Here is an 11686-nt window from a genome sequence, read left to right on the forward strand (position 1 = left end):
GCTAGAAAGTACAAAATGACATTGGGAAAAATGAGTCCTATTTTTCTCATCCACATGTATTATTATTCTAGCAGGGCATTGTCAAGGTGAAAATAACTCAGACACATACAAAAACTCCCCTTAGTGCTGTCAGGGCCTTAGAACCTGAACCATGCACCCCATAGCAGGTATCACAGAAATAGCCACTGAGAATAGAGGGAAGGGCCTGGCTGGCCTGGAAGAATCTCCACGTCTTAACCCTTGGATAACAGGAGTTATCACTCCAAAGTTCAGAGGTTCAAAGTTCAGACTTCTGTCGGTCTGCTCTCGGTCATTTATAAATGAAGGGATCTGGGCTGATTAAAGCAAATTCGCTCCTATGTGGTCTTTCTTTCCATTAGACCCAGCTGCGACTTGCTCTTCAGGGGCAGGTTGGAAGTACATCAGGATAAATTTGGTCTGCCCTATTTACCCCATCAGGAGGCGGAGCGACCCCCTCTGAGCACCAGCGAACAACCTCTGACAACTAGGGCTAGATGGACCTGGCCTCATCTTTCCCTTAGATGTTCTCTGTGCTCACCCTTCTCCACGAAACCGCAATCCGTTTGGGATCCCTAGTTCTGGCTGAACCACACCTCTGAGGCTCTGGATCACTAAAAGAACAACAAAGAAATACGTGCTTTTTGTTTGTTTGTTTGTTTATTCATTAGAACTAGTGGAATCATACAAAATTCACGTCAGGAATTAAAGTAGGTGTGCTGTTTTTGAAATGAGGACATTCCAAATAGTGAAGCTGTTTGCTGCTGTAACCGAAGTCATTGAAAAAAGAAAATCACAAGTGGAAGGCCAGAAGGCCCCCAGTGGGTTTTTTTCTGAGGGCACTCAGAAGCAGTGTGAACTAAGAGTGGGGCTTCCAGCTTTGGCCTTGCCAGGGGTGTGACCTCAGACAATCAGCTCACTTCTTTGGTTCTGGGCCTTCGACTTGTTCTTTCCTTGTAGATAAGACAATGGGTATTTGCTTGCCCATTGCCCACTCTCCCGATTTTTCTTAGGAACCACCTCACCCCAGGCTTAGACCACATGATTTAAGTGGACCCGATGCTAGCTAGCCCTGCTTCCAGGGGTGCACAGGGATTCGGACTCAGCCAATTACACCATTGCACATCTCTCTCATTACACTGATTGGGTCAGAGATGGTCATGTGACCGGAAAAGTACCAATCAGAGGTCAGCTGAGAGTTTTGCAGGCTTAAAGGAGAAAGGAACTCTTTCTTACTGAGTCTGCTCAGAAGATAGGGTGAGCATTTGGAGCTGCAGTGATGATATACCATCCTCGAGAGGCCATTCACTGAGAATGGAGTCAACACAAGAGGAAGGCAGGACCAAGAGATGAAGTTGAGGAGAGCCCTGACATCACTGCTGGGGCCCTCAGATCCCGCTATGCCTGGGCTGTCACTGGGCTTTTTAGTTATGTGAGATAGTAAATTCCCTTCTTGCTTAAGCTACTTTGAGTTGTCACCATTACCAAAAGATCCCTTATCAATACCCCCTCTGCGTGATTCCCCTCGTCCCTTTTATCTTGCCTAAGTTCTATTCACCCGTTGTGAAAGTTGCAGATACCAGGACAAAATCACTTTTGTCAGAACCAAATTGGAGGTGGGAAAGCAGGAAGGAGAAGGACCCACGCTTGCTTGAGATAAGAGTGTTTCAAGGACTTTCTAAAATAAGCCCCTAAGAAATTCCTTCACGTCCTTCACACATCTCATGCTTTTCGTGATCTATATTTTATACATAGGCACATATTTCTAGGACCAGGTTTATCACTAGACATTCTTTAGGACTACAGCAATTCAGAAAAGATACTCTCAAAAGACTACTTGCCTAGTAACAGCATCTCCACCAATGAACTGACGCCAATTCTGGCTTTGAGTCTCCAGAGCCAATGAACTCTGTTTCTAAGCAGCTTATGTGAACTTCTCCTTTTGCCAATAAAAGCTTCCCCTCACCCTCCCCTCTTCGGGTGCATCTGTTGCTTGCTATAGCTGTGCATCCTAGATTATAATCCTTTTGCTTACTCACAAATAAGATCATTAAATTAGGAGATATATTTCTCTGATGTCTTTTTTTTTTTTAGGCTGACACCTTAAGGTATCAGTTAAAATGTTAAGTGCTCCTGCCCTATTTCCCCCATCTCCTTTCTTTCCCCAACATAATACCTTAATAGATACATATTATTCTGACATACTGTTTAACTTGCTTCTCATGATATATGATTTATTGTTTGCATTCTGCTCCCTTTTCCCACTAGAATGTGAACTTCGTAATTTTTGTTGGTTCTGATCCCTGATGTGTCCAAATACCTAGAAAAGTGCTGATACATAATAGGTGCTCAATAAATATTTGTTGCCTGAATGATGAAATTTAGCAGGAGAAGGCATTAGGGGACTTTCACTAGGGCCAGCCTGGGGTGAAGCCTGGTTACTCTAACTTTAGACTCTCCACAGCTCCCCAGCCCCTACTGGTGATAATGGTTTAAGCTAAAATACTACAGTAAACACTAGCTTCTGTTTACTAGTTTCCACTATGTACCAGGCATTGGGATAAGTGCTGGGCACACACAGAGGGATAGGACCTTCTCTTCTCTCGAGGAACTCCCAGTCAAAAGGGAGCCAAAGGACAACACACTAGAGGGTCACATACCCTTGGGCTTAGTGAATGTTTGTGATACAAAGCTAGGACATCTGGCCCAGCATGAGGCACTGGGGTAGAAATCTTCCTGGAAGAGGTGATGTCTGAGCTGTCCCTTTCCTACATTGGAAGAAAGACATGGCAAATACGAGTGTGGGTTGTGGGTAGGGAGAGAGGATGAGGAGAAATGAATGAAACTGAGACTATATCAAAGGCTGGGGCAGGAAAATTTGCTGTGATTCTCACCCTCACTTTCCTTATCTGAGCTGACCGAAGACATCCCCACAAATTCCTTTATCCACTCTCTGCCACCAAAACACACTCTCATTCACCTACCCAAGTAGATAAGGTCCTCTGCTCCTTTGAATTTCAAGGCAAAAAGACTCTTAGCAGGCCTTCTTTGGTTATCTGTTCTCACATCACTTGATGCCATCATCTGGAAATACCTGTAGGCTTGTGTCTAGACCAGTCTTTGTTTCTATGAAAAGCCAGCCCTTGCACCTGTGGCTAGCACCAGGTGCCTGCCACCACTGTATACCTGGAAAGGGGCATTGCTTCAGCTCTCATCTTCAGTCACTTGCCTTCTCCACTCCCAATTGCTCCTGATTCGTGCTCCCGGGGCCAACTATCGGTTCCTTTCTCTTCTAGATCATCCTGAGTAATTCCCCCAGGAGAGAGAGGATAGCTCAGAGCTGGATGGAATCTGAAAGGCATTCTTTTCCCAGTCTGAAACTCCATCTGCTTGACACTCTATGTGCCAAGTTTCCATATTCAATGCAAATTTACCAGCACATACATAGTTTTCCTGTTACTGGTTAAAAAGCGTTTTGACAGTCCCAGGGACACATTGCTTTCTTTCCAACCAAAACTGTAGAGACAAAGACACATTTCCACTGCAACTAAGTAATCCCGAAGTTTCTCCATAAGCCAAATTTGATTGAGCTAATACTGACCTTTCCACAGGCACAGCTTCCAAAGATATCTTTTTGCTGCAGGCAAAGTCCTGATGAGCATATTAGTCAAAGCTCCACCTCTTCAGTACCAGCACACCCACCCTCTCTTTTCTCTTCCTTTCAGGTTGAAGGAGAACAGGGAGTGTCTCTAAATTTCCACAGCTGATTTTTCTCCCCCCAGGAGGTCCTATTGTTCAGGCCTGGCCTGGGGAGCACGTGACACCCCACCCCACCGCCAGCAATGGATAAGCCTCAGGCTCAGAGTCCTGTATTTGATTTGATCAAGGCTATTCTGGCCATATGTTAAGAGCAATGTACCTTGGCAGGAAGCAAGCCAGGTTTAAGTCCTGGGCCACTGAATTGCCAACTGCGTGACCCAAGGCTCCTCTAAACCTGCAAAAATGGAAATAATAATAGTACCAAACTCAGAGGGTTGTCAAGAAAATTAAATGAGATAATGCAAGTTGAGCACTTGGGATGGAGTGTCTGGTTTGAAGCAAAGGCTGGCTAAATGACCATCTGATTATTGCTTTGGCCCCTGAAGCCTCGCCATCAATTTGTTCTCTCATTCATCAGAACAGCCCTTTGCTTGGAAAACCATACTTATAAAAATATGAAGCATCGTAAATGATCATAAGGAAACCGACCGGGGGAAGGTAGCAATGATGGGAATCTCTAAGGATCTCTCCCAGGAGAATCTGCCTAGGGGTTTTAGTGGCCTGACCCTGGGGAGGCAGGTTGGAGAAAACTGTAAAGGAAAAGCCTGGTCTGCTACAAAATGACTCAGAACCTACTCAGACTAGAGAAGTCTCTGAAAAAAGGCTAGAAATCAACCTTCACCCCGGGAGATTCACCTTCCTGTTCATTCATCCATTCATTCATTCATTCATTCATTCATTCATTCATTCATTCATTCATCAAATGTTAAATGAGCTCCCTCCTACATGGCCAAGTACTGAGGATAGAGCAGAGAACAAGATTCCTGTCCAGGAGCCCATATTCTATTGGTCTATTTAAGTTTCTTTGACTTTTAAGAATTGTATTCTTCACAACCACCTATACCACATAGTGAAACAAACAAACAAAATATTTTCTTCTTTTTCAACTTGTATTTTAGATTCAGTGGGTGCATGTGCAGGTTTGTTGCATGGGTATATTGTGTGATGCTGAGGTTTGGGGTATGAATGATCCTATCACCCAGGGAGCAAGCAAACAAGCATAGCACCCGACAGGTAGTTTTTCAACCCTTGCCCCCTCCCTTCTCCACCCCCAGTAGTTCCCAGTGTCTGTTATTCCCATCTTTCTGTCTATGTATACCTAAGGTTTGGCTTCCACTTACAAGTGAGAACATGTGGTATTTGGTTTTCTGTTTCTGTGTTAATTCACCACTTAGGATAATGGCCTCCAGCTGCATCTGTGTTGTTGCAAAGGACATGATTTCATTCTTTTTTATGGCTGCATAGTAGTCCATGGTGTATATGTACCACATTTTCTTTATCCAATCCACCATTGATGGGCTCCTAGGTTGATTCCATGTCTTTGCCATTGTGAACAGTGCTGTGATGAACATATGAATGCACATGTCTTTTTGGTAGCAAGATTTATTTTATGCCTAGTAATAGGATTGCTGGGTTGAATGTTAATTCTAAGTTTTTTGGGAAATATTCAGCTTGCTTTCACAGTGACTGAACTAATTTGCACTACCACAAACAGTGTATAAGTGTTCCCTTTTCTCCACAGCCTCACCAGCATTTGTTATTTTTTGTTTTTTTTTTAAATAATAGCCATTATTAAAATGGTTGCTGCAAAACAGTAACTCATTGTGATTTTGATTTGCATTTCTCTAATGATTACTGATGTTGAGCACTTTTTCATATATGTGTTGGCCGCAGGTATGTCCTCTTTTGAGATGTTCTGTTCATGTCCTTTGCCCACTTTTTATTTTTTATTTTATGTTTCCATAGGTTATTGGGGTACAGGTAGCATTTGGTTACATAAGTAAGTTCTTTGGTAGTGATTTGTGAGATTTTGGTGCACCCATCACCTGAGCAGTATATACTGCCCCCTATTTGTAATCTCTTATCCCTTGTCCTCCTCCCACCCTTCCCCCCAAGTCCCCAAAGTCCATGGTATGGTTCTTATGCCTTTGTGTCCTCATAGCTTAGCTCCCACATATCAGTGATAACAAACAACATTTAGTTTTCCATTACTGAGATACTTCACTTAGAATAGTAGTCTCCAATCTCATCCAGGTCCATGAAAATGCTGTTAATTCATTCCTTTTTATGGCTGAGTAGTATTCCATCATATATATGTATATCTCACAGTTTCCTTTTCCACTAGTTGATTGATAGGCATTTTGGTTGGTTCCACAATTTTGCAATTGAGAATTGTACTGCTGTAAATGTGTGTGCAAGTATCTTTTTCATATAATGACTTCTTTTCCTCTGGGTAGATACCTAGTAGTGGGATTGCTTGATCAAATGGTAGTTCTACTTTTAGTTCTTTAAGGAATCTCCACACTGTTTTCCATAGTGGCCATATAGTTTACATTCCCACCAGCAGTGTAGAAGTGTTCCTGCATCCACACCTGATCACTGCATCCACACCAACATCTACTGTTTTTTGGTTTTTGATTATGGCCATTCTTGCAGGAGTAAGGTGGTATGGGTTTGATTTGCATTTCCCTGAGTGATGTTGAGCATTTTTTCATATGTTTGTTGACCTTTGCCCACTTTTTTTTTTTTTTTTTTGAGACGAACTCTCGCTCTGTTGCCCAAGCTGGAGTGCAGTGGTACAATCTCGGCTCACTGCAACCTCCATCTGCCAGGTTCAAGCAATTCTCCTGCCTCAGCCTCCCAAGTAGCTGGGACTACAGGTGCGCACCACTATGCACAGCTAATTTTTGTATTTTTAGGAGAGACAGGGTTTCATTATGTTGGCCAGGCTGGTCTTGAACTCCTGACCTCATGATCCACCCGCCTTAGCCTCCCAAAGTACTGGAATTACAGGCGTGAGCCACCATGCCGGCCTCCTTTGCCCACTTTTTAATGGAGTTATTTGAAGGCATCGTACTACCTGACTTCCGACTATACTACAAGCCTGCAGTAACCAAAACAGCATGGTACTAGCACAAAAACAGTCACATAGACCAATGGAAAAGGATAGCAAACCCAAAATAAAGCTGCACACCTAACAACCATCTGATCTTTGACAGTCAACAATCACAAGCAATGGGGAAAGGACTCCCTATTCAATAAATGGGATAACTAGCTATCCATATGTAGGAGAATGAAACTGGACCCCTACCTATCTCAATATATAAAAATTAACTTAAAATGGATTAAAGATTTAAATGTAAGACCTAAAACTATAAATATCATAGAAAACCTAGGAAAATACCATTCTGGACATTGGCCTTGGCAGAGACTTTATGACTAAGTCCCCCAACAAAACAAAAACAATTGCAAAAAAAACCAAAAGTTGACAAGTGGGACCCAATCAAACTGAAGTGCTTTTGCATAGCAAAAGAAACTATCAACAGAGTAAACAGACAACCTTGGAATAAGAGAAAATATTTGCAAACTAGGCATCCAGCAAAAGTCTAATATCCAGAATCCACAAGGCACTTAAATAATTCCCATGCAAAATCTTTTCTTGGTTTCTTTTAGTGTACCCAAAGTGGTCTGGCTAACTCTTCATCCCTAAAAGAGAAAAGGAGGAAGGAAGGGAGGGAGGGAAGGAGGGAGGGAGGAAGGAAAGGAAGGAAAGAAGGAAGGAAGGAAGGAAGGAAGGAAGGAAGGAAGGAAGGAAACTTACTCTACATGAATAGTAAGGAAAATAGAAAAAAAAAAAAGAAGTTATAAGAAGCATGACACTAGTCACATTTTAGAAGTCCCTTTCTTTACCTGCAGAGCCAGCAAGCTTTCAGAGTTCCCAAGAAAACCACCTTTTAGTGTTTAAGTCCTTCCCTAGTCCTAGCTTTCCTTCACTCCCCCCTATCCAGGAAGGGCCCAGAGGAGAGCAGAAGGATAGATTTATGGCCAGATCACCAAGGTTGACATAAGGAGGGCATTTTCCCTTTAGAGTCCTGGTAATAGGGACTCAATCTCCCTGGACTGACTCTTTGTTAAATTAAAAAGGGTTAAGTTTAGCATTCCTAGTCTCTTGGACACTGCCAGAGAAGGTATTGACCATGACATCTTGGGCATGCTCTGAGGCTGTTAAGGCCCCATGTTGGAATGATGTTTCTCTGAAGCCCTGGCCACAGCCAAGCATTTCTTCTAAACTGCTTGAGATGGCAGGATGCTTGAGACATCTGTTTGTTATTTTTATATGGACCCAGCCCAGAATCACAATCACCCAAGACCATAAAGAACCTGTGGCCATGATTTTGACAATGAGAACCATGGTTCATGAAACTCAGGGCTTCCATTTTTGGCTTCTTGACACTCAAGGTAGTTTTTCATCAAAAAGCCCTTCAAAAGAGAGACTGGTTTCCTTATTAGGAAGGAAAATCTATACTCTGCCAACTCCAGAAATTGAGTCTTAGAAGGAACTAGTTCGCTCCCTCTCTCCATCGTCTCCAGCCTCAGACATTTAACACAGTGGCCTTTCTCTTTCTCCTTGGGGTTTCTACGTGTCCACAGGGGGCCAGCTGTGTTCCTTAAGGCATTCTGTGGTAAATGTTAGATTACTGCCTTTCTCCTATTATGGGAATATTTTCCTTCCAAGAATATAACATTACCTAGTAATAAGGACAAGAACGAGAAATAGAAGGGGGAAGGAGAAGTAGGAGGAGGAAAAGGAGGAGGAGGAAAAGGAGGAGGAGGAAGAAGAGAAGAAGGGGGCTTTATTTGTATTTTTTAAATGTTCTGCTTGGAGATAATTACAGATAAGCACACAATTTTAAGAACTTATGCAGAGATACCCTCACCCAGTTTCCCCCAAAGGTAACATCTTATGTCACTATAGCACAACATTACAACCAGGAAATCAGTGATACAATCCATAGTCCTTACACAGGTGCCGTCAGTTTTACATGCACTCATTTGTGTGTGTGTGTGCATCTGTGTGTGCATTTAATTTGATGGAATTTTGTCACATGCATTGATTCATGTGGCCACCACCACAGTTAAGATACAGAATAGTTTCATCACAAGGTTCCTTTGCACTAACCTTTTACAGCTACACCCACCTGCCTCTCCCCCAATCTCACCTCTGACAACCACTAATCTGTTCTCCATCTCTATAATTTTGTCATTTTAAGAATGCAATATAAATGGAGTCATACAGTATGTAACCTTTTATGATTGGCTTTGTTCACTCAATAGAATTCTCTGGGGCCTCATCCAAGTGGCTGTGTATATCAGTAGTTGCTGAGTCCTATTCCATAATACAGCACTATGGTGTGTTTAGCCATTCATTGGTTGAAGGACATCTGAGCGGTTTCCAGATTTTAGCTATTGCAAATAAAGCTGCAATGAGCATTCATATACAGATTTTTGTGTGAACACTGTTTTCATTTCTCTGGGATAGATTCCCAAGAGTGCAATTGCTGGGTTGTATGGTAATCATATGTTTAGTCTTATAAGAAATGGCCAAATTCTTTTCTAGAATTGCCATACCATTTTACATTTCCACCAGCGTATGAGTGATCCCATTACTCTACATCCTCATCAGCATTTGGCGTTGCCACTATCTTTTCAGTTTTATTTTTAGCCATTCTGATAGGTAGTTAGTGATATCTTACTTGCATTGCTTAGTGGCTCATGATATTAAACATTTTTTCAAGAACTTATTTGTCATCTGTATATTCTCTTCAGAGAAATGTATTTTCCCATTTTCTAATTTGATGCTTTTTTAGCATTGAGTTTGAAGACCTCCTTATATACTCTATGAACCAGCACTTTGTCAAATATGTGCTTTACAAACATTTTCTCCCCATCTGCACTCTTCTCTTCACCTTCACCAGGTCTTTCACTGAGTGAGAGTTTTTCATTTTGATGAGGTTCAGTTTATCAATTTTCCCTTTTATGGATTGTGCCTGTGGGATTCGGCCTAAGAACTTTTCATCTAATCCTAGGTCCAGAATATTTTCTCCTTTTTTTTTCCTAAAATTTTTATAAGTTTACATTTAATATTTAAGTCCATGATTCATTTTGAGTTAATTTTTCAGGTGTGAAGTATCAGCTGGTTCATATTTTTTGCCTAGGAGTATTCCTAGTATATACCTAAGGAATGTAACCTTTAAAAATATACCTAGTATTTAGATATATTTTATGGATGATAATCATAATAACCATTCCAAAAGGTTGCTGTAAGAATTATAACCTTTAAAAATATCCTAGGTATATTAAACTAATATGATATTATATTGTATTTTTATGTTATATTAGTATAATATTATACTAATATACTAGGTATATTTTTAAAGGTTATAATTCTTATAGCAATGTTTTGGAATGGTTATTATGATTATCATCTATTTTACAGATGGAGAAACCCAGAAAGATTTGATAATGTGACCAAGGTTAAACAAATGCTAAGTGATAGAAAGAAGCCAGGGTTTAAATGCGGGTCTGACTGACTGACTCACTCCCACATTTAAACCCTGTTCCTATTGCCTCATTCAATCCCTTTCACTCTGGGAGTCCTGCTTCCTGAACAGATGTTCCACTTTCCTGCATACATTCCTTTATCCTGACCAACCTCAGTACACAAGCTACCAGAGGCTGGGGCCTGCCAGAACCTGTCCAGGGTTCTCCGTGACATGTTTGCAGGGTGGAGAACAGGGGCAGACTGGGAAACTTCCCTATATGCAAATAGCTTGTCATTCCGGTTTGGGGAAAGGCTCACATCAGATTTCAGCATCTTCTAAAGTATTGCAGAGCTCCTGTACCAGCTCACTTGTCTGGGAGGAGCAGGCTAAAAATCTTAGGTTCCCCAAAGACAATCACACATACACACAAAATTCATTTAATAACTCCAAATCCAGAACACTTCCATCTTCAATCTGCCCAAACAAAATGCACTGATAGAGGTTAGTTGGAAGGACTCAGAGCATTTTGGGGTAAAACTTCTATAGCTAGAACCTGTTCCTTGCCCCTTCTGGTGGGTGGGGGTCATAATTGGACTATAACCACTTCATTATCCATTCCCATTTGTAGGTAGATATGGGTAAAGGTAGAGTTTCCCTCCCAACCCCCCAGCTCTCTCCCCTCCACACACTGGCTGCTGACTTCCCAACCAGCCAGGACCTAGGGACTTCTGCACTCAGACCACTGGAAAGAAACCAGCAGCCTCTGAGTTGACTTTACTCTTTTGCAAATCCCTATACCTCACCCCACTTTTAATGAGAGATCCAGGAGTTCTTTGCCTCTGTGACCTTATACTCAGAAAGGGTCCCTCCACTTACAACTTCTCCCAGAGCTTATCCAAAGACTACTAGGCCTTTGCCCTAGCCCATGTTAGACAGCTGTAAGGAGCAGGACAAGCCCAGTCAAATGATCCAGTCCCTCTGGGTCAATGAATGTATCTATTTTGACTGACTCCTCAGAAGCCTCAGGGGTGCTTGAACCCACAGCAGAGAGTTTCAACAGGTGGGTCAGCAGTAATACGCCCTGACCCTGCAGTTCCTCCACCTCCACCCCTGTGAGAAATTCAGAGGTATTTTGTTCGGGATTCTGGCAACATGCCTTGAGCCCTGGGTGTCCCCTCTTCTAGGAATGATGCTTTCTTCAGTATTCCTGTGACAGTCTCTGCAGGCAGACAATGGCAGCTTCTGGTTACTTCCTCTCCCTGGAGAGCCACTTCAGGTATAAGTGGATCAAGGGGAACTGCTGAAATGACTCAGGCCATTCACCCTTGGTATTTCCTCCAGGAGCTGAGATAGGTCTCGCTGAATGTCAAAGATCGGGCCTCAGTCAAACTTCCGCAGAGCTGGGTGGCTGGTCACCTTCCCAGTCTCCATGTTCACCCTCCCAGTAGAAGGTATGAAACATCCTCTTGACCTCCTGGTCTCCCTGATGACAATGTCCTTTATCACCTTCCAAACTTCTCTGGCAG

This window comes from Homo sapiens, chromosome 11 (genome assembly GCF_000001405.40).
Source record: "Homo sapiens chromosome 11, GRCh38.p14 Primary Assembly".
NCBI lineage: Eukaryota > Metazoa > Chordata > Mammalia > Primates > Hominidae > Homo > Homo sapiens.